At 47.4% G+C, this 23,479-nt stretch overlaps 1 long non-coding RNA gene across 1 annotated transcript in view, besides 4 other annotated features; it reads left to right on the forward strand.

Moving 5' to 3' along the window:
- Positions 1-9,170, forward strand: part of LOC105376718 (uncharacterized) — a 29,383-nt gene extending 20,213 nt beyond the window's left edge. The window contains exon 2 of the long non-coding RNA XR_932381.3: positions 787-9,170. This is a non-coding gene — a long non-coding RNA (uncharacterized LOC105376718). The remainder of the gene's footprint in view (positions 1-786) is intronic.
- Positions 3,121-3,620: an enhancer, noted in NCBI's record as "H3K4me1 hESC enhancer chr15:67158541-67159040 (GRCh37/hg19 assembly coordinates)". NCBI's record gives its function as "activates a minimal SCP1, AML or CMV promoter by ChIP-STARR-seq in naive H9 embryonic stem cells {active_cell/tissue: H9 hESC(naive)}" and the evidence as "EXISTENCE:reporter gene assay evidence [ECO:0000049][PMID:30033119]".
- Positions 4,207-4,376: an enhancer, noted in NCBI's record as "experimental_40570 CRE fragment used in MPRA reporter constructs". NCBI's record gives its function as "activates a minimal promoter by MPRAs in K562 erythroleukemia cells, with activity observed for the non-introgressed 15:67159712 variant allele {active_cell/tissue: K562}" and the evidence as "EXISTENCE:reporter gene assay evidence [ECO:0000049][PMID:34662402]".
- Positions 14,447-15,419: an enhancer, noted in NCBI's record as "H3K4me1 hESC enhancer chr15:67169867-67170839 (GRCh37/hg19 assembly coordinates)". NCBI's record gives its function as "activates a minimal SCP1, AML or CMV promoter by ChIP-STARR-seq in primed H9 embryonic stem cells {active_cell/tissue: H9 hESC(primed)}" and the evidence as "EXISTENCE:reporter gene assay evidence [ECO:0000049][PMID:30033119]".
- Positions 20,169-20,684: an enhancer, noted in NCBI's record as "H3K27ac-H3K4me1 hESC enhancer chr15:67175589-67176104 (GRCh37/hg19 assembly coordinates)". NCBI's record gives its function as "activates a minimal SCP1, AML or CMV promoter by ChIP-STARR-seq in naive H9 embryonic stem cells {active_cell/tissue: H9 hESC(naive)}" and the evidence as "EXISTENCE:reporter gene assay evidence [ECO:0000049][PMID:30033119]".

The following is a 23,479-nucleotide window of genomic DNA, read 5'->3' on the forward strand; positions in this document are numbered from 1 at the left end:
TGTGCTTGTGTGTGCATGTGCGTGTGAGCGTGCCTGTGTACTGGGAGTGGTTACACAGCGGGTGCGTGACAGGCTCATGACACATAGAATGCAGAGCTTCGCTAACTCTCAGACCCTGATGAAAACACAGATAAGGAGGTGGGGGTCATTTAAAATAAGGGCAAAACCTGCTAAAAGCTTCCTGGGGCCCTTGCCTGGGACACCTAGAGTTCCAAAATGCCCTAGGCCACCCATCTTGCTAATATACTTTGAGAGCATCACTCCTCTGCTCAGAATCTCATCCTGCCACCCCTCTGCTGAACAGAGTAAACATCAAACTCCTGGCCCTCCAGAATACCTGTGGCCTCACTTCTCACTCTTCTTTCCTATACCACTCCAGGTGAACCACTCCATCCTTCCCATCCCCTATCCTCAGCTTATGCTGGGATTTTTTTTCCCAGAGTGTCCTACCCTCTCCTTTAGTCCCCCATAGCACCTTTCAAGATGTGGCTAAAATGCCACCTCCTCCAGGAAGACTCCCTGAATTTTCCCACTTGGATCTGTGCTCTCTTTCCTCTGAACCTCCTGGCAACTTTGTCTATAACTGTCTCCTGGGATGTAGACAGTTTTAGAGTTTACCCAGGTAATTTAGGTCGAAGATGTCCTGTTTTGTTCCCCCTACTCAAAAACTGGCTCCATGACTGCTTTATATCTGGGTCCTTCTAAATACTGAGCCTTCCCCATGGCATCCAGGCATCCCTCTGCAAGGCCCTGATTCCCACTCCTTCCCTCTGCCTCCTCCTTCAGTAGGGGCTGCTGTCATGCAAGGAGGTCTGGCAGTGGAGGAAGAAGACATGAGCCTTGGGCCAGACTCTTACTGGATTCCCACCCCACCTGCCCCGTCTTCAGCAGACAAGCTGGTACCCAGCACAAAGGCTCCAGCTGCTGAGCTGTGTGTGGGAGCCTGGTCTCTGGGTGCCCAGAATGAAGGGTCAGACCCAGGTCACTGCCTGACTCTTTCTTTCAAGGACCGAAGTAAGAACTACAGGCCTAACAGTAACATCCCTGGCTATTTGTAGAAGTCCGCTTGGTCGGTCCATGCTCTATAACATGAATTTCTCATACAACCCATTTTTAGATGGGGAAACAAGAGCTCAGAGAGGCTAGGTAACTTGTTCAAGATCACACAGCTCTGAGTGCAAGTGTTCAAACATAGTCCCCACTTTCCATCCGTCTCCAAATCCTGTGCAGTTTCTGGAATATTCTGCTGTCACTGTGCCTTGCACAAATCCAGGTTTTGATAAATTCCTGGATAATAAAAGGCAGACATGAGTCAACATATAACCAGCTCTTTCTCTTTGACTTCCATATTGCCCCAGGCCCACACGCGGACCTCTGCATGAGGGAAGAGTGACAGAACTGGGTTTGTCTGAGAGGGTGATGGCTCGGGGGGCCAAAGGGAGAGGTGAACCCTGCATCCCAGGAGGGGTGAATTCTCTGATGTGAATCATCTGGGTGGTAGGGAGTAATGGGTCCTGGGCATGGTGGGGACTGTCACACCCTGATGCGCTGTCCCAGTTAGGTTGGAGGAGGCTGGGAGGGCCATCTGACCACAATGCAGGTCTGTTGCGGACCTCAAGGAGCCTGCAGGGAGTGCAGCCACCTCAGGCACACACCTTGGTGATAGATTTTACTGCTCAGCTGCTGAAGCCATTGGTCAATGATGCTCCTCACAGTCAGAGATCTGAGAGGGGCATTTTCACAGCCACCACAGACCTTCTGCCTCCCAGGGCCTCCTCACTGGCCTGGCCTGGAGGACTGCCACTGGCACCCACAGTTAGAGGGAAGGAAGTTTCAGGCCTCTGTAACCCAGGAGAGAAGTCCACTAGTCCAGTCCAGGCCAGGTGTCCAGCTCTGGTGGGTGGAACCATTTGCCCAGCTGTCCTTTGGCTGAGGGTTGGGGCCTGACCTCTGAAGTGAAGGCACCCACAGAGCTGGCCATTGAGGCAAATGTCCAGAATCCTGGGGCATGGGCACCGGCAGGGGAGATGAGGTCATGTGAGATGTAGGTGCCACTCTCTTGCAGAACCCACCCTCGCACCTTGGCACACAGTGGCTCCACGAGGCCAAGAGCTGGTCTCTTGTTTATCTGGGTGTAGGGCGTGCACACTGCCTGGAACTGACAGTGTCAGGGACTTCTGCTGGCCAGGACAGACCCCATGCCTACTCAATGGCCATCAGCCCTAGGGCAGCAACATCAGGATCTGTCTTCCCCATTGGTCAGGGGGCTTGTGGTAGGTTCAAACCACTGATGGCAAGCAGTCCAGGCTCTAGTGTTGGTTTGGGGTCTGGCTCTCTCACTAACCTGAGCAAGTCCCTTACATCCCCAGGGCTCAGTTTCCTTATCTGTTGAGTAGAGATCATCACACTGATGGCGAAGAGGCCTTGTGGTATGGAGGGTTTGGGTTCAACTTTTTTTTTTTTGAGCTGATTTGAATCCCATTTCCCTGGTTATTTGCTATATGGCCTTAGGCAAGTTACTCAATCTCTTGAAGACTCAATTTCCCATCTACAAAATGGGAGTGAAGAAGAATCTCTTCTTCTTTCCAAGAAATGTACATGTGAGGATTCAATAAGGGAACGCTCAGGCAGCTCTGAGCACAGCATCTGGAGCGTCACTGCGATGTGGCAGCACGCTCTGCAGCATGCAGGACAGACACACTCCTTCCTCTCTCCTCCTTCACCTCTTCCCCAGCCCCACCCCTCACATCTCCTTGGCTAATGGGTCAAGCAGTGGTCAGTGTCTGGCCAACAGTGGAGACTCAACCATGCACAGAGAGTGAAAATGCAGTGCGCACCTCCTGTCCAGGTAGCCCCAACCTCATTCATTCACTTCCAGAATGGCAGGTGCTGTGCTGAATGCCTGGGAAGATGGCCCCAATGTTCCTCCCCAAGGGATTGCCAGTCACATCAGCACAGCACGGGATGGATCCTGCTGTGCCAACACTCTCTGCAGGCTTGTGGGGACCCTGGCTGAGATGTCTGGACACCTGGATTTCAATCCGGTCTTTGCCATCCACTCCCTGTGTGGCCCTCCCCCGCAAACTAAATAAAAATTTCATGAGTTGGGGAAGGAGACTCAAGGGGAAGTGAGACGAGAGGACGGAAGTGAGTTGAAGAGCAGGGAGGAGCCTGGAGCCTGGAGCCTGGGCCTCCCTGTGCTGTGATGTGTGCCAGAGTGGAAGCGGAAGTGGAAGCAGAAGCAGAAGTGGTCCTGCCGGTAGGTGTGACTGGCCTCACAGAGCTGCCAGGATGCACCTGAGTGCTCAAGAGGGTTTCCCACAGCCCCAGGTGGATTGGACTCAGAAGCATGTTTCTGATGTGCTCAAGAGTGTGGCCCAGACAAGGCACAGAGGACAGGAGTGTCAGAGGCATTCAAACAAGAGCGACTCCATCCTGAACGGGGGCTGGGTAAAATGACGCTGAGGCCTGCCAGGTTGCATTCCCAGGAGGTTAGGCATTCTTAAGTCACTGGATGAGATAGGAGAGGGGCACAAGATACTGGTTACAAAGACCCTGCTGATAAAACAGGTTGCAGTAAAGAAGCTCGCCCAAACCAAAATGGCAATGAAAGTAACCTCTGGTCATCCTCACTGCTCATTACACGCTAATTATAATGCATTAGGATGCTGAAAGACACTCCCACCAGCCCCATGACAGTTTACAAACGCCATAGCAACATCTGGAAGTTACTCTATATGACTTAAAAGGAAAAGGAACTCTCAGTTCTGGGAAATTCCCACCCCTTTCCTGGAAAATTCATGAATAAACCACTCCTTGTTTAGCATATGATCAAGAAATAACCATAAAAGTAGCCAACCAGCAGCCCTTCGTGCTGCTCTGCCTGTAGAGTAGCCGTTGTTTTATTCCTTTACTTTCTTCATAAACTTGCTTCTGCTTTACTCTGTTGACTCGCTGATTTTTCTTTCTTGAGACAGAGTCTGGCTCTATCGCCCGGGCTGGAGTGCAGTGGCGCAATCTCTGCTTATTGCAACCTTCACCTCCCAGGTTCAAGCGATTCTCCTGCCTCAGCCTCCCAAGTAGCTGGGATTACAGGCATGCACCACCACACCCGGCTAATTTTTGTATTTTTAGTAGAGACGGGGCTCTGCCATGTTGGCCAGGCTGGTCTCGAACTCCCCACCTCAGGTGATCTGCCCGCCTCAGCCTCCCAAAGTGCTGGGATTACAGGCGTGAGCCACCACGCCCGCCTGGAAGATACTCATTTTATGGGAAATAATTCCTGGGTCCAAGCAAAGTGGGAGGTAGGTTAGAAGACCCCTGCATAAAGCTGGGATCCCAAAGGGCTGCATCCTCAATAAAGTAGGGAAAAAATGTCCACAGAGACTTGTCTGCTTCTGTCTCAACTGCAGTTGGAGCACAGGAAAGATGGGTTTTCCCTGGAATCTCTGGGACAAGCCCAGTTTCGTTTCTTTTCTTTTTCTTTTCTTTCTTTCTTTCTTTCTTTCTTTCTTTCTTTCTTTCTTTCTTTCTTTTTCTTTCTTTTCTTTCTCTCTCTCTCTCTCTCTTTCTTTCTTTCTTTCTTTCCTTTCTTCCTTTCTTTTCTTTTCTTTCTTTTTTTTTTTTTTTGATGGAGTCTCACACTGTCGCCTAGGCTGGAGTGCAATGGCGTGATCTTGGCTCACTGCAACCTCTGCCTCCCAGGTTCAAGCGATTCTCCTGTGTCAGCCTCCCGAGTAGCTGGGATTACAGGCGACTGCCACCACACCCGGCTAATTTTTTTGTATTTTTAGTAGAGATGGGGTTTCACTATGTTGGCCAGGCTGGTCTTGAACTCCTGACCTCGTGATCCACCTGCCTTGGCCTCCCAAAGTGCTGGGATTACAGGCATGAGCCACCACGCTCGGCCTCGACAAGCTCAGTTTCAAGTGGATGTGGCATCGGAATTCACACTGCCTATATTGCTTCCCTCTCTGACGCCAGAAAAAAACTAACTGAAAATATAGTTTCAAGTGTTCCCCAGATGCCTGATGAAGCAATTGTGAAGACTCCCTAGAGGAACGCATTTTAAATCTAGGCTTCAAAGTATTCTCACAAATAAACTTCCAGGAACAGGAGGTTACACTAAAACATATATATTTTAATGCACATATATGTATATTAAACAGAAGAGAAAATAAGCTACATGACATGAGATTCAGCAGAAACAACATTGCTGAATCAGACCAACAACAACCAAAGATATCGGAATGATCTGTTGTATGTATAACATAAAATAATTATGTGTGGTTTGCATAAAGAAATTAAAGATGTGATCAAATGTATGACAAAAGAATGAGAGACTATCAAAAGTGATCAGGTGAAGTTGAAGCAGACCAAATAGAATTTCTAGAAATGACAAATAAGTTAAAATTTAAAACTTAAATTGAAATGAAAGCCCAACACATGAAGGGTCAATTCTGGAAAAGATGGAGTAAACACACTCTACATTATACCTACTGACTGTGATTCTAAACTACGGACAGGATGCATGGGCCAGCTAGCTGAGAACTTGGAAACTGCATAGTAGCCAATATATTGGAGAAGGAAACAAGAATTTGAAGTATGATTGAACTGGGGTTGAGTTTCCCATTTATTTTCCCCCCAGTTTTGCCTGACCTTGACTCACATGTAGCCCAAAACCTGGAAGAGTGCACCAGGTAGGGGCAGATAGAGCTCCAAGAGAATAGAAAGAACTCCTTTTCTGGTTTGAGGAGCAGGAAGGTGGCTCCTAAAGATCAGATGTGGGAAGTTTTCCTGTTTATGTGTTTTTTTCTCCATCGTCTCCCACTCAAGCTGCCAGGTAGTATTGCAATGGAGGCAGTGGCAATGGTGATAGCAGCATTAGCCAAGTAGATGCCTAAAATTCTTAGACAGAAAAAACTTCTCCTACCAGAAAAGCCGTGAGCCCAAGAGCATGGGGAAATTCCTGTTACTTCTGTCTCCACCCTCACACCCCAATCCCTCTGCCTTCTGTTCTCCTGCTGCTTGGCCCCAGACACAGATGCAGTTATAAGTACATAGCAGAGCTGGGAAATTAAAGTCCTAGATTTCTGGCTGAGGGACTGGAAAAGGAGGCCCCAAAGAGCCAAAAACTGATGAGGGAGATTGTAGAGAGGAGAGAGCATAAAAGAGTGATCCCATACTTTTGTGTATAAACTCCCAGAATCACCTCCAAACTGTGCAGCATGGATCTGATCCCAAACAAAACATCAAAGACCTTGAGAACTAGTCTACATATGAAACCCATCTGAAGAGTACTGCAAATGGCTTTGAAAACTGAATTGATATTGGTACCAGAACCCAGAGAAGGTAGGTGGAACTGGCAGCCTGGACCTAGCCTGGTCACTTGTCTGCTAAAATTAAAAAAAAAAAAAAATCAGCATTCTCTTTAGGATTTAAACAAGACCACTCACTGGTTCTGTGAGTTAAAAAAATAAAAATCGAGATCCAGAGTCTCATAACATACTATTCAAAATGTCCAGGATACAATCTAAAATTACTTTGGATATGAAAAACTAGAAAAAACTCAACTCACAATAAAAAGACAATCAAATAGATGCCAACCCTGAGACAACACAGATGTTGAAATTATCAAAGACTTTAAAGCAGCTATTATTACCTTACTCCAAGAAGTAAGGGTGAATACTCTGGAATGAATGAAAAATAGCAAGTCCCAACAAAGAAATAGAAGATATAAAAAATAACCAAACTGAAATTACAAAACTGAAAAATGCAATTTTAAAATAAAAAAACAATAACTGGAAAAACTAGCAGAATGGAGATGAGAGAACAAAGAGTCAGGGAACTTGAATATAGATCAATAGAAATTATCCAATCTGAACAACAAAGAGAAAAAAGATTGAAAAAATTGAACAGGGTCTCAGGGACGAGAGGGACAATACCAAAATGTCAACTGGTCATGTAATCAGAGTCCTGGAAGGAATGGAGCAACAGTGCAGTTCAGGAAATAATAATTGAAAAAAAATAACAGCTGGAAACTTCCCAGAATTACAGCTTCAAGAAATTCAGCAAACTTCAAACAGGGTAAACTCAAAGAAATGCACTCTCAGGGATATGGTGGTTGAACTTCTTTAAACTAAGGAGAAAGAAATCTTGAAAGTAATTAGAGAAAAATATAGCATTACTATCAGTATCTCATGAGCAACCATGGAGGCTAAAAGGAAATGAAACATTTTCAAAGTGCTAAAAGAAAAGAAACATCAACTCAGAGTTCTATATCCAGTGAAAATATCCTTTAGGAATGATGGTGAAATAAAGATATCCTCAGATAAAGGAAAACTAAGAGACTTTGTTGCTAACATACCTGTTCTAAAGTAAATGCTAAAGGAAGTTTTTCAGATGGAAGGGAGATAATACCATAGTGAAACTTGGAAACACAGGAATGAATGATGAACAACAGAAATGGTAGATTTCTGGGTAAATAGTCTATTCCCCTTCTCTTGAGTTATCTAAAATATGATTAATAGTTGAAAGCAAAAATTATAACATTGTTTGATGAGGTTTTCAAGGTAGACCTAATATATAATATATAAGATAGCCATAATGGAAAGGAAGGAGAGTAAAGGAACCTATTTGATGGGAAGGTTTCTATATTCCATTTAAAGTAGTAAAGTATTTCTTCTAAGTAGACATTTCTATTTAATCTGAAAAGTTAAATATGCATATAGTAATACCTAGAAAATCCACCAAATTTTTTTTACAAAAAATATAGTAAAAAATGCAATTTATAAAGTAGAATAGAATACTAAAAAATGTTTAAATAACCCAAATAAAAACAGGAAAGGGGAAACAGAGGAACAAAAACCAGAAGGAGCAAACAGAAATAATAAAATGACAGACCTAAATACAAACATAGCAATAATTACATTAAATATAAATGGTCTAAACACACCAATTAAAAGACAAAAATTGTCAGAATGGATTTAAAAAACAAGATATAACTATATGCTGCCTATAATTATATTGATATAAAGATATAGATACATTAAAAGACTAAGATACATACACAAAAAACCACTGAACAGCACTCTTCAAATAGGCAAATTTATGCTATGTGAATTATATCTCAATAAAATCATTTAAAAAAAGACTAAGATAAACCATTCAAACACCAATCAAAAGAAAGCTGGAGTGGCTATGTTAATATAAGATAAAGTAAAATTTAAACCAAAGAAAATTACTAGGGATAAAAGGAGACATTACATAATGATAACAGGACCAGTTCACCAAGACAACATAAAAATCCTAACTGTGTATACATTTAATAACAGGACTTCAAAATGCATGAAGCAAAAACTGAACTGAAAGGAGAAATGGAAAAATTCAATTACAGTTGTAAACTTTAATATTCTTCTTTCAATAATTAATAGAACAAGTAGATAGAAAACAGCGATGATACGGAAGATATGAACCATCACTGACCTGGATGTAATTGACATTTTATAGAACACTCCATCCAACAACAGCAGAAAATAAATTCTGCACAGTGTAAAAGAACCTTTGGCTAGGCACAGTGGCTCATGCCTGTAATCCCAGACTTTGGGAGGCCGAAGCAAGTGGATCACCTGAGGTCAGGAGTTCGAGGCCAGCCTGACCAACGTGGTGAAACCCCATGTCTACTAAAAATGCAAAAATTAGCCAGGGATGGTGGCCACATGCTTGTAGTCCTAGCTACTCCAGAGGCTGAGGCAGGAGAATTGCTAGAACCCGGGAGGCAGAGGTTGCAGTGAGCCGAGCTTACGCCTTTGCACTCCAGCCTGGGCAACAAGAGTGAAACTCCATCTCAAAAAAAAAAAAAAAGAATCTTCACCAAGAAAGACCCTATCTTGGGTTATAAAAGTAGTCTTCCAAATTTAAAATAACTGAAATCACACAAAGTATGTTATCTGATCACAATGAAATCAAACTAGAAACTGAAAACAGAGCAATAACTGGAAAGTCTCTAAACACTTTTAACACAATTTAAAATAATGGGTCAAAAAGAAAGTTCGTGGGAAATTAGAAAATATTTTGAACTGAATGAAAATGAAAAAACTTCGAAATTTGTGGGATGCAGCTCAAGCAATGCTTACAGGAAACCGACAGCATTAAATGCTTATATTAGAAAAGAAGAAAGACTTGAAATCAACAATCTAAGCTCTCATTTTTAGAAACTAAAAAAAAAAAAAAAGAGAGAGAGAGAGAGAGAAATATAAACCCAAAGCAAGCAGAAATAACAAAGTCAAGAGCAAAAATCAATGAAATTGAAAACAGAAAACAATAAAGAAAAATCAATGAAACAAAAGCTGGTTCTTTGAAAAGATAAATTAAAGTGATAAACCTCTAAAAAGACTAAGGAAAGAGCAAAGACACAAATTACCAAAATCAGGAATGAGAGATGACTTACTACATCAGACCTCACACACATTAAAAGGCTAATAAGGAACTACTATAAACAACTCCACAAAATGTGTTGACAACTTAGATAAATGGACCAATTCCTTTAAAGCCACAAACCACTAAAAACTCACCCAAGATAGATAACCTTAACAGTTCTGTATTTGTTAAAGAAATTAAATTTATGGTTAAATACCTTCTGAAAAAGACACTTCTAGGCTAGATAATTTCACTGGCAATTTCTACCAAATGTTTAAATAATAGATTAGACCAATTTTTTTCATGCATAATTTCTTCCAGAAAATATAAGAGAAGGAAACACTTTCCCATTTATTTTATGAAGTCAATTTTATCCTGATACCAAAACCAGGCAAGACAGTACAAGGAAAAAAACCCCTGCAAATCAACATTTTTCATGAATATAGATACAAAAATATTCAACAAAATAGTAACAAATTAAATCCAGTAATATATATTAAAAATAATAAGTGAAGCTTATCTCAGGAATTCAAGGCATTGAAAAACCAATCAGTGTAGTTCATTCTGTTAACAGACTAAAGAATAACAACCACAAAATCATACCATTTCATGCAGAAAAAGTATTTGACTAAATTCAATATGCAATAATGAATATCAATAAAACACTCCCAGAGCATCTATGAAAACTCTTCTAAACCAAGAGTAGGAGACTTCCCCTTAATCTGATAAAGGGACATAAAAAACATCTACATCGTACCTAACTGTAAAGACTGAACGCTTTCTCCCTAAGATTAGGAACAAGATAAATATGTTCATTCCCACCACTCCCATTGGACCTTATGCTGAAAGTTCTAGTCAGTGCGTTAAGACAATAAAAGGCATAGACATTGGAAAGGAAGAACTACAACTATCACTATTTGCAGATGACTTGATTCTATATAGGAAATCTGCCATGGTTTGAATGTTTGTTCCCTCCAAAACTTATGTTGAAACTTAATCCCCAATGTGACAGTATTGGGAGATGGCATCTTTAAGAGGAGACTGGGTCAGCTGGGCACGGCGGTGACTAATGCCTGTAATTCCAGCACTTTGGGAGGCCAAAGCAGGCAGATCACCTGAGGTCAGGAGCTCAAGACCAGCCTGACCAACATGGTGAAACCCTGTCTCTACTAAAAATACAAAAATGAGCCAGATGTGGTGGTGGGTGCCTGTAGTCCCAGCTACTTGGCAGGCTGAGGCAGGAGAATCGCTTGAACCCAGGAGGCGGAGGTTGCAGGGAGGCGGAGTTTGCAATGAGCCGGGATCGCGCCACTGCACTCCAGTCTGGATGACACAGCAAGACTCTGTCTCTAAAAACAAAACAAAACAAAACAAAACAAAACAAAACAAAACAACAACAAACTTATACTGAACCTGAAAGATGCACAGCCGCAAACCTAGGCCACTTTTCTCTCTGCTTTCCTCCTTTCCCAGGGCAAGGAGAGCTTTAGAGGCAAACTCCCCATGAGCACAGGCCTAAGCAAAGGAACGGATCTCTGGTCATGGTCACCCAGGCATTCTCTTCCCAGGCATGTACCCGGGAAGCAGTATGGGTTACCTGTAGGAGGCTTCTGGAGCCACACAGGCCTGCACTCAAATGCTGGCTTCCTATCCACTTGCTACAGGACGGTGGGCAAGTCACTTCACCTCTCTCTGAGCTTCAGACTCCTCATTCTAAAATTCAGATCCAATAATACCCCCGTTGGGGGCCAGCGTGAGGATTGAAGGATATACTGTGTGTAGGTATATCCTACAATATAGGATCATTTGAGGTCAGGAGTTCAAGACCAGCCTGGCCAACATGGTGAAATCCCATCTCTACTAAAAACACAAAAACTAGCCAGGTGGTAGTGACACACGCCTATAATCCCAGCTACTCAGAAGGCTAAGGCAGGAGAATCGCTTGAGCCTGGGAGGCAGAGGTTGCGGTGAGCCAAGATCATGCCACTGTACTCCAGGCTGGGTGACAGAGCGAGACCCTGTCTCAAAAAAAAAAAAAAAAATACTACAATGAAAACTAAACTGTTACTAGGTCCCAGCTAGACACACCAACCTGCTGGAGGCTCTGAGTCTGGGGGCTGAGCTTTCTTTACTAAAAGTGGAATTAGCAGGGGGAGTTTGAGAGGCATTAAAGACCTATGGGCACCAAGCCCAGGGTTTCACTTGCATTCTCTCACCAGGATTGAAAGACAGATGAAAAAGAAAGAACTTCAGATAATGCTATTCAATGCCAAGTCTGTGTACCTCGTCCCCTACACTTGTGTCCCAGGCCACCAGCATTTATCTCATTTCTCATGAAGGTGTGTGTCTGTGTGTGTGTTGAGGGGGTTGATTCCTTTCCTAAGAGAACCTGCAACTCACTAGCTGTGCAAGCCCAGGTGGGTGACTTAACCCCTCTGTGCCATAGTTTCTTCAGTGGCAAAGGAGGAAAATCGATTCTCTCTCTCTCTCTCTCTCTTTTTTTTTTTTTTCTGAGACGGAGTCTCGCTCTGTTGCTCAGGCTGGAGTGCAGTGGCGCGATCTCGGCTCACTGCAACCTCTGCCTCCTGGGTTCAAGCGATTCTCCTGCCTCAGCCTCCTGAGTAGCTGGGATTGCAGGCGCGTGCCACCATGCGTGGCTAATTTTTGTATTTTTAGTAGAGACGGGGTTTCACCATGTTGGTCAGTATGGTCTACAATTGATTCTTATTTGCAGTAAGTATGTTCTATAAAGTCACCAAGAACGCTGAATTAGCAATACTGAACCTTTGCTCCTAGAGGAAAAATACAGAGTTAGATTTCTGTGAACCCCTGGTCACATTTTCATCAACTGATCAGTACATCACCTTGTTTCATGTGTGTTTCTGTTTAAAGACACCTTATTTAATACTGTTGATTCATTAACGCTGAACCTGCAGCCACAGCGCTGTAACTCATGGCTGAATGAAGCTGACATAACACACCATTTTCTCTGTAAGGCATATTACAGCCTTCTTGTATTTAAGAATGCCAGACAGCACCTTGCACTCCGCATGGGGGCAGTTTGAAATAGTGAAATCACCAACAAAGTGCGCAAATATGTGAAGAGCGGGACACTAAATAGACCACACAAAGGACACCTGTTTGCCAAATGAGAGCTGGGACAAGAAGGCAGAGTGTCATCTTGTTCTCCTTCAGCTGGTATCAGGTTATATCAGGTGACTCAAAATTTTTGCCACTTTGTATATGTCCACGAGTCACCCTGAAAGCAGTGTGAGTACTGATTGGAGGATGAAAGTGAATTTTTGTGAGTAGGCGAACTCACAAATAGGGAGTCCATGAATCATGAGGGTCTAATGTAGGCTCATCCCTCGGGTTGTCACACAGGTGACGGTGACAGCCAGAGCCCTTTAGCACAGTGGGTCGTAGCAGATCCTCACTCCATGTGGGTCATTACTGTGGTCGTTTCCCTCCTTGCAGGTTCTCTGACTTCAGGCGATTAGACTTGGGGCGTTGAGGCACCTGCTTTCAAAACCACTCTGTGAGGCCAAGCGGCAGGTTGTGCGAAGAATGGCCCAGCATCAAGCTGGCACTCAGAGCCTTTGTTGATTCTGAGTTAAACTTCCTGCAGCACCTTCAAGTTCAATTCTCAGGACGATATGCCCACTCCTCTGCCAGTGGAGGCGGGGATGCCGAGGTGGGGAGACCGAGGCTGGACCCTGAGAGTGAGGGCCTTCAGAAGCTTTGCAGTCTAGGCTTCTCTCCCCACAACCTGGTCTCTGCCCTGGCACCTACCTTGAAGGGTGTCTGGGCGGCAGATTGGGGCCAGGTGGTGGAGGATAGCTGGGCACAGAAGTTGGGTTGTGTGTTTAGGGTAGAAGGGAACCATGGAAGTTTGTGGGGCAGGACTGTGATCAGGATGGCGTGGGCTTTCAGAAGGCAACTTGGGCGGGAGCAAGGAGGGGTGGGGCTAGAAATAGGGTTGGGAGGAGCCTATGGCCCTGCCCCTGGGATGGGGAAGGCTGAGAGAAGCCAGCCAAGGAGGCCTCCCGAGGTCTCCTGGGTCTTGAGAAGCCTCATATTTCCCCCTGTGTGGTGGCTGCGGTTCACCCCGAGAGAGTGCTGGGGGGCTGCTCCTCTTCCTGGGGCTTCATCTGCCTAAGCTACTCAATGTAAAGGACTCCCCAGTGCTCAGCCACCATTCCTCTTCTCGTTAAATTTTTCATTAAGAAAAATGGTCACCAAAGAGTGGCGAGGTAGTTTCACCAGCGCTTTTGTGGGAGATGAACGAGCCAGAAGCAAGTGTGCCAGCACCTCCCTCAGTCTTCCACAGCAAGCAGTGTGCTACCCTGCCTACACGCATGCGCGCATAACACCCCTGGGGACACACGTGTGTCCACAGACATGCATGCATGTGCACACCTACATCAACACCATCAGGTGGACACAGTGCGTAACACACACAGTACACTGTGCACCACACTCACAGGCACACACATGACACGGCACAACCCGGGGCTAGGAGCAGGGGCGTGGGAGTCAGGCGACCTGGGTTTGTATCCCAGCTCTGCAACTTGCTAGGTAAATTACTTAACCTTCCCAGCCCTGATTTCTCATCTGCAAAATGAGGGTTGATAAGAGATCCTCCTCCGGATGGTATTGGGGGGTTGAGGGAGTTCACAATGCATAATGCCTGGCACGAGGGCTGGCACACATAGCCTCCTTCAGTGTTGGGTATCACCGTTTCTCATCATTCATAGAAAGGACATACATCACACAGCACAGCTCCAGAGGCTCCTCCTCCACCAATTCTTCCATCTCTAACTCCCAACACCTTCGTAACCGCCTGAGGGGTAGGGGCCTTAAGGCTATCCGAGCGATGCTGACCGCTTGCTTATATGTTGTACACTGTGGGCTGTTCACTTGTCACTTTGCTAATGGCCTATCTATCATTTTAGGGGCTCAGCAAAAACTTCCACTTTAAAATCCTGCAGAGACAGGAGAAAGAAGCAGGGATGAGAGATGAAGGGGAAGTGTGGAGTGCGTCCCCTTTCTGGCTCCAGCCCTTCCTGAGGCCAGCTGCATCTTCTTGGCTCCTCTTAAACCACATTCATGGCCTTCCAGCAAACTCCTCTTTTTGATTAAGGAGTATTAGTTGGTTTGTGTTCCTTGCAGCCAAAACCAATCCAGAGCCAGGTGAATGAGGCACAGCTCCTCCCTTCCTGGAGCCCAGTCCAGCACAGGACAGGCAGGTGGGCAGCCCATGGCAGTCCCCTGCGAGCTGTGCTGGGACAGGGAGGGTGGGCAGCATGGAGCACAGAGCAGGGGCTGACCCAAGCCCAGGTGGAAGGAAAGGGGCTTTTTCCAAGGTCAAACGGGATGGGAAGGAAGATGGCAGCCAGGGCAGGGAAGCAGCCTGCCAGACCCCACCAAGCCAAGAGCCTGGCATATTTACACATCAGCACTGATTATGTTACACCCATCACAAGCGTTAACGATCCCTGCTGCTGGACGAGCTCACAGCCCCCATGCCTTTCCCCTCACATGGTCTTGGTGCACACAGTATTATTCCTCCATTCCCAGGGGAGGAAGCTGAGGCTCAGACAGCCCTACCTTTTCCTTCCAGCAGATTCCAGGAAGTAACCCCAGGCTGAGGTCGCGCTGGAACATCCATCTGAGGCCACAGAGAGAAGAGGAGAAGGAGGGGCCTGAGGCCTCCACAGAGCCAATGAGGGCCAAAGGGACCCCCCGTTCTGGAAGCAGCAAATGCTTCCCAGGGGAGGGTGCTGAGGGGAGGACTGGGGGCTGACAGGGGGGAGCAGGCCGTGGGCACCCAAGCAGAGGACAGCAGGGACTGCCCACAGGCCAGGCAAAGTCTAGGGGGTCTGGGTGGAGCCCTTCTGGGCACTCTGGGTCTCAGAGAGGATATATTAAACTGGGGATGCAAGGAAGGCACTGGGAGCTAGGGGAACTTTGATGGCTGACTGCATTTATCCCACATCTGTGCACCTTACCCTAATTTAAAAATATTTATATTTAGATCTATTTATATATAGAGAGAGGCAGAGACAAAGCAGAAGGCGGGTGATTACTTTTTGCAAGGCAGGTGTGTAGCACCATCTAATTTCATTGTTTCAGCCATCCTGTGAGATAAGCATCCTTATTCTCCTTTTTCAGATGAGGAGATCAAAGCCAGGCAAGGTGGCTCAAGCCTGTAATTCCAGCACTTTGGAAGGCCGAGGCAGGTGGATTGCTTGAGCCCAGGAGTTCGAGACTAGTCTGGGCGACAGAGTGAGACCCTGTCTCACACAAACACAACAAGAATAAGAGATCAAGGCTCTGAGAATAGTGCTGCTGCCCAAGGTCACACAGCTAGTAAGTGACTACAGAGCTGCCAGGCTACAGTAAACCACTCTAGGCCAGTGCAGGTCTTGCCAGCTGACCCACTGCCTGCAGCTGCACCTGTGAGCAGCCAGGAGAGGCGTCATGGGGCCCACTCAGCACAGCTCAAGGGCTTCACTCATGTGCGTGCCATCCTTGCAACAACTCTGTATGTCATGAACCTCACTCTTCCCCACCTCCCTTCTGAGTCCTGCTTTTCTCTCTCTCAGAACTTATTCACTCTTGGTTTACACACACTTCTAACAAGTGATAGGGAGTAAAGAGCACTGATCCGTTAGAGTCCCAGGGCAAGTGTGTTAGTATTTGTTTCTCTTCCCCTATCTGGAAAATTGAGATAAAAATAAGTGCTTAGGGCTGAGGGTCTCTCCCAGGGTAGAGAATCTCAAAGTCACAGTATCCTTCATAGAACGCTATGACATTTTACAAAATTAATACCATAGTTTAAAAAAGAACAAATTTGTGGAAGAAAATATGACTACATATCATATCTGTGGGGTATCTTATTTAAAAATTACACACAGAAATCAAGAAAATGCTTCCCTTTCACTTTAATTTTTTCTCTATAAACTGGGTGAAATCTCACCAAATGATGCTCCAGGCAGGACACCCAGGGGCAATGTGTTCCACGGGTGCCCAGTTTGAGAACTCCTGGGCCGGAGATAGGAAACTAGGGTTCCAGCCCCTGCTTGGCCATTACCCTGCTGTGTGACTTTGGACAAGTCACTCACCTGCTCTGGGCTTCTGTTTCTCCCTAGACACAGTGAGGGGTGGGAGTGGCTAGAGATCATCTGAGGTCCTTTTCAGTTCCAGCCTTCAAGGATGGACTTGACGCCTGCACCTCCGTGTCACATCCAGGATCCCCATGGGCTAGGGTCAGGTTGGAACTCATCCTTCCCTCAGGTTGCCACTGTGCCTCCACCCCCACCCATGGGGAACCATAAAAGGGATCTCTTGGGCCAAGGAAATGCTGCGCCCCTCCCTCAGCGGAGACCCCCATCTCCCTCTGGCTCCCCAGTCTCAGGCCTCAAGCCCCTAAACAATTGTCTGAGGGGGATCCAGGCTATTAAAATAATTTACATAGTAATTAACAAGGTTCCATTAGCTGATTCCTGGAGCCAGAATACTCTGCCTCCATTTCCCTTTAGGGGTCCACCGTCCCAGGATGGGACTGGGGTTTGGCTGGGGTTTGACTGCAAAGCAGGGAAAGAAGGAATTTTCCATGCTGGCATGTGGCAGCTCCACACCCAGGGAAGAGGAACAATGACTGTATGAGGGCCCAGCTGGCTGGGTAATGAGGTCTGGGGCAAGGAGGTGCCTCATGAGCACTCAGGGCCTGAAACCCTGAGAAGAAAGACAGTCAAGAGGCAGCAGCATGTGTTCCGCAGCCCCGAGCCTGGTGCCTCCAAGAAGTCCTGGTTCAAGAGGACATAAAATGTCTCATGTCCTTCTGGGCCTCCTGATGATAAAATCTATGTTTGACCATAAAAAGGTACAACCTTGGTCATCACCTTTGAGCCTGGGAGGGAGAGCCTGTCTTCTCCACTGTGAGGATGAGGAAACTGAGGCCCAGACAAGTGAGGTTTCCAAGGTTACACAGCCTGGAAGTAGCAGAGGGAAACTAGAACCTGGATCCCCAGACAGAATCCAGCTTCTCCCCACTTGGCCAGGGGTTTCTAAACAGCTCCGTGGAACCCCAGGGGACTCCCAGTGTGGTTTGAATAAGGGGTTGTTGAGAAAGCCTGAAAGCTTTCCCCCATAGTTCCTCACATCAACTACGACAATATTTCCATATCGAACTTTTAAGAAGGATTTCATTTGCATCCCATTGGCTAGAAAAGCTTTTAAAAGGACTGTACTCCTACAAAGCTGTCCCAAGAAGGTCTCTGTCACGGGGCCACTTCATCGCATGCCTCTACTCATGAATGGAGGCCCCTGAGACTACACAACCCAGCAGAATAGAGACCCCATCCGCACTGGGGTCCCATATTTCTGGCCTTGGTCTCCCTGCAGACTCCCTGCCGGTTAAGTCTGTGCTCTCCTGTCCGCTGGGCACCTGCCCTGGTGGTGGGACCGCTGCTTCTCCCACTGGGCCTGGCTGGGTGGGCCCTTCTCTTGTTCACTGTATTGTCTCTGTGGAGACTGGCGAAGGAAAAGGAGACAACAAGGGTGGGGAATGACAGTGATGCTGGGGTCTCAATAAGAGTTGAGTCATTTTCCTGCACGTCTTCATTGAACAAACATTTCCAGGGCTATATAAGCTAGGATCTGAGGATAAAAAGATAAATGAGGCTGAGTACTGCCCTCGGAGAGCTTTGGGTCACCTGTGGGAGACAGACTCCTCGACAATGGTCCCCCATAGACTATGTCCTGGGGGCAGTGCTGGGGGTCTTCTGGAGCTCAGGAAGGGACAGGAGGAGGTGAGTTGGTCCTGATGGGGACGGCAGGGGAGATGTCGGGGTAGGCCATGCAGAACGGAAGAAGCCAGAGCTCCTTTTTGAAGGAGTTTGTGAGGGGAGGGGCGGGAGCACACCCCAGCTAGAGGGAATGGCATGAGCAGGAGAGCAGAAGGCAGTTGATGGCTTAGCCCTAGTATGTGATGCGCATGGCAGGAGTGGGGCAGGGGAAGGCGGGTGGCAGCCAGGCCAAGTGAAGGCTCTTTGGCCCTCAGGCCCCACTGGCTTCCTGCTCTCCTCTGCGGTTCCCCTCCAAAGCCCCTCACCTTGGGGCATCTGAGAGGCCAGTTAAGCTTTGGGTAGGGGTCAACAGGGCATTCAGAGCCCAGAGCACCCCATGTTGGTGCTCCACAATCTATGCTTTCCTGTCCCCTGGGCACCTGCCCTGAGCCTTGCCCCTGGCTGGAGGTGGGGGCAGTGGGGCTCTGCGCTGCTCTCCTGGAGGCCTGGGGACAGGGTGGAGAGAGTCACAATAAGGGAGTCAGCAGTTTCTCCTTTCTGGGCCTCCGTCGTGCTTTCTAGACAATAATGGGGTGGTAGCTGGAGATGGCTGAAGCCCCTTCCAGACTGGACTCCCCATTACAGACAAATAAATAACTTGGCTCCCCAAATGAGTGTGGCTCCCCAAGAAGCAGAGCCTGAAACAAGGATCTGAGTGCAAGGAGTTCATTTGGGAGGGGTCCCAGGAAGCCCCAGTAGGGATGTGAGCGAGGGATGGCAAGGAGAGAATGCAGGGTGCCCCAGGAGCAGGTGCCACCATGAGCAGCTGGGGCTCGTGCCTCCAGGGAGCCCCGGGACGCGTGGAACACATGTCTTCAGAGTCATCCTGTCCCAGGGAGAGGAGGCCGGGGTCTTCAGCCCCCAATTCTTATCTGTCTTTTGTTGAGGGTTGCTCTGGGGAGCTTGAACTTTCCAGCATTTCTGGCCAGCCCCACCTTGGGGGCAGCCTCCTCCTGCAGCCAGGAAAGGTGCTCAGGCAGAGTGGCAGGGGCTTGCCATTGGCATGAGGGCAGCTGTGCATAGGAAACAGCGCTTCCAAAGGGAGGCCGGCCTGGCATGGAGAGTGTATTCCCCACACACTAAGACCCGAAGGGGCACCAGTGGCATTTCCTGGGTTGCACTACCAGTTAGCAACAGGCCACACTGAGAAGCCAGGTCCCCTGACTCATCAGCCAGGGCTCCTCCTGCCACCATGTTTCTCTTCTTGTCTCCTTTCCCCTGGGAGAGTCCAGGCTCTGCATCCTCCTTGCCTGTCCTCCCTCACATGGCTTAGTAATAGCACTTTGGCAGCAGATACGAATGTCTTGAGAATAAAAAAAAAACACCAAATGGTTCAAATCTGTGAAACTTTCAGCTCTTCACAGAAAAAGGCCTTGTCATCTCCATGTTTCCACCCCAGTCCTTGACCCAGTGCCCAGCACAAGGTAGGCCCTCAACACGCAGATGAACTGACATCTTGGCCAGTTGCTGTGTGGCATGGGGCAATTCCTACACCTTCTTAACCGTTCCCTCATTTGAAAAATGGGTGCAGGGTCAGCCTCGGTGGCTCACACCTGTAATTCCAGCAGTTTGAGAGGCCGAGGCAGGCAGATCACTTGAAGTCAGGAGTTCGAGATCAGCCTGGCCAACATGGCGAAACCCCGTCTCTACCAAAAATACAAAAATTAGCCGGGCGTGGTGACATGTGCCTGTAATCCCAGCAACTGGGGAGGCTGAGGCAGGAGAATCGCTTGAACCCAGGAGGCGGAGGTTGCAGTGAGCTGAGATTGCACCACTGCACTCCAGCCTGGGCGACTGAGCCAGACTCTGTCTCAAAAAAAAAGAAAAAAGAAAAGAAAAGAAAAAGAAAAATGGGTACAAATGTCCACTCTGCCAAGTTCTTTGGGTTGTTGTCTCAGATATTCAGCAGGACGCATGGAAGGCACTTAGTAGGTGCTCAGCAAGTGTTTGCACCTATGAAGAACATTTGGGAAACTGCACAGGGCTTTCACTCCAGAGGGAGTGGGGGCAGTCGCTGAGATTAGCAGCAAGAATGCATTCTGAGTCAAAAGATCCACCTCTTTCCTGGCTGGTCGCCTCTCGCCCTCCTCCCATCTCCCCCACAACCCACATTCCCAAGTCCCCAAAGATCATGAGTCAGGTTTTCCACCTCCTGCAATTTCAAAGCTCCCTGCCAGCCAAGCTGTTTTGCAGACTCAAGTCGATAATGACAAATTCTTCCCTCCTCGCCCGCCACTGGCAAAACCACGGAAAGTATTTGAAACACGCAGCCTGGGAATGTGCAAACTTCCATTCGCCCGGCTTGGCAGGGGCCAGCAATTTCTCAGCCAGCATTTTTGACTAAGACTTCTGCAGCTCAGGTTTCCAATGAGCTCATCAGCCCAGTCCTCCAACAGTGTTTATACCTTTTTTTTTCCTTCAGAAAATTAACCCTACAACAGATTCTGAATCATACACTCCTTAGGAGCACAGCTCCCTTGTTGAGATGGAGGCAGGGTTTCAGACCCACCTCAGGAGGGCTGGCCTTGGCTTGCCCAACAGAGCTCCTCTGAGCACCCATCAGGGGCCTATGTGGCCTGAATCAGAGGATTCTCTGCTGAAAAAGACATCCAGAGGTCTTCCCATCCATCTTTTGCCTCCATAAAGATCTAGTTAACCCATTTCAGGTCTCTGCAACTCTGTTTTAAAAATATCCTCCCAGGGGATGAAGGAAGGGAGAAAGGATGAAAAGACTGGAGACTCTGAACCTAGGTACACCTGGATGTCAATTGCACTTCTGTCTCCACTCAGTTTCTTCATCTGCAAATGGCAATAGTAATCCCCACCTCCAGGTTATTTGGCGGTTTAAGTGGCCCCCTATGAACGCATCTAATATGATTTCTGCCTACAGTAGATGCACGCTAGTTTTCTCTCTTCCTTATTTCTTGGTCACAAATTCTACTCTCTCATCACAACGTTATTTGGTGAATGAATGAAGGAAGGTCTTTACATACCCAAATCCTCCCTGCTCTTGATGATCCCCTACTTCTCTCAAGTCGACAGTTCAAGTGCCTGCATCGAATAGCCACTGAGCATCACTCTGGGCAGAGAGCAGAGCTAGGCCTCACAGACTCCCTGATGACCACAGTCCCTGTTGCAAAGGATTTTCTGGTCTAATGAGGGAACAGGCACCGTGAGAGAAACAAGAGGATGGATAAAATGTTGTCAGCTGGAGAGATGTTCAGAATTATTTTGCTCACCCACTTACACATTTTCCTTCATTTCCGAAGTAAGCATTTACTGCAGGAAGAGGACATGGCCACCCCTCACCCCTGGTGATGGGTCTGGGGACTTCTAAAGGAAGCCCTTTTTGTTTGACATCCTTGTTTCTATTTGCTGTGAAGTGATCTATAAAAGCGCTTTGGAAATTAAAAGACATGATTTTCCCTCTTCCTCGAACACTCTTCCCACCTCATCCACCTTGAGCACGCAGGGCCCAGCAGAGAGAAGATGGGCTATGGGGGATTCCAAAGAAGGTGGTTTACTGAGGATGGCTTCTCGGGGTAACGGAGTGAGGGGAGCTAGATGGGGAGTGAGGATGTGCTCTCAGCTGGAGTCCAGCTCAGCCTGACCCCACGGGATGCTGGGACAGGAACTACCCCTCCGAGCTTGAACCCCAGGTCCCTTCAGTCAAGGGGGCTGGCCTCTGTACCCCTGTGTCACTGAGTCAGAGAGGGCAGGGAGGGGTACCTTTCCAGGTGAGGTGGCTTCTCTTTGGCCAAAGGCAGTTTTCTGCAGAAAAGCATGGCTGTGAACTTTAGCAACCAACACTCGCAGCAGTGGAGAGATGGGTGTCCTGGCCATGTCATGTATAGGGGGCCTGGGTGGGGCACTCACAGCATCCACTACGGGAAGGGGGCAAGGAAAGATTAGGAAGGAGCATCAAGAACTCCACCAATTTTTTCCCAAGCTGTATACAAGGTTCTGTGAATTTGTCCCCATCTTTCTGTCTTTTGCTGAGCATACTGAGAAGGACCAAGGAACATAGCAGAAGCCACATACCTGTGGGTGGGGCAGGGCCACTGTCCAGGGAAGATGGACTGAGTGGGCTTTAGGGAGATGGGTGCAGGTCTGAGGGGGCAGCATGGAGGGGGCCTGGCCCTTCCCCATTCAGCACCTAGAGTGTCTTGCTGTCATTTACCCTCCGGGTGAAACTGACCTCCCTGCCCCTCCCAGGCCCAGCACATCTTTCCCTCTGTCTTAGTTGGTTCAGGCTGTGGTAACAAAATACCACAGGCAGTGCAGCTAATAAATGGCAGAAGTTCATTTCTCACAGTTCTGGAGGCTGGGAAGTCCAAATCTGCACTGGCAGATTTGGCGTCTGGTGAGGACCCGCATCCTTGTAGACAGCTGTCTTCTCACTGTAACCTCAAATGAAGGAAGGGGCAAGGGGTCTCCCTTGGGCCTGTTTTATGAGGCACTAAATCCCATTAATGAGGGCTCCATCTTCATGACCTAATCACCTCCTGATGCCTTCACCTTGAAGCTTCGGATTTCAATATATAAATTTGGGGAACACACGTGCACACCACAGCACCCTCCTCTGAGTGCCTTCTGCATTTGGAAGGCACAGACCCACCTGGCTGCAAGGATGTGCTCTGCCTCCCTGAGCTGACTGGGAACTATTAAAACAAGAACTTCATTTTTTTTTTTGGTAGAGTGGTTTCGAAGTTGTAGCTCAGTGCCTTGGCTTACAATAGATGTCCGATATATATTATTGAGGAAGTAAAATAATAGATTCCTTAGTTTTTCTATGGAATGGGGAAAGACCCTCTCTGATGTCCCCCATTCATCAAGGGCTGCACTCATATTCTTGTAGGGCCTGGGCTGTCCTTGCCCTCTGTGCCAACACCACCAGCCTCAGCCCAGCCAGGGCTGAAGCCTCCCCTGGCCCCACAGAATCCTGCATGGAAGCCTCAGGCTAGGGTGGCCAGTGGGATGTAGCAGGACAAAGGGCTCCCGCTGGTGTACTGACTCCACAGCCTTCATTTATATGAAATGTGACTACATCACTCAAAACCTAGTGCCTGGCCTTGGTTGGTGCAGGTAATGATGATATAGGCTCATTTATGCAAGATTATCCTTTTATCACATTTCCAGACTCATTTATGAGGCTCATGTTTCTCCCCGAGGGCGTCATCAAGCAAGTTAAGTTGTACTATTTCCCTCCC

This window comes from Homo sapiens, chromosome 15 (genome assembly GCF_000001405.40).
Source record: "Homo sapiens chromosome 15, GRCh38.p14 Primary Assembly".
Taxonomy (NCBI): Eukaryota; Metazoa; Chordata; class Mammalia; order Primates; family Hominidae; genus Homo; species Homo sapiens.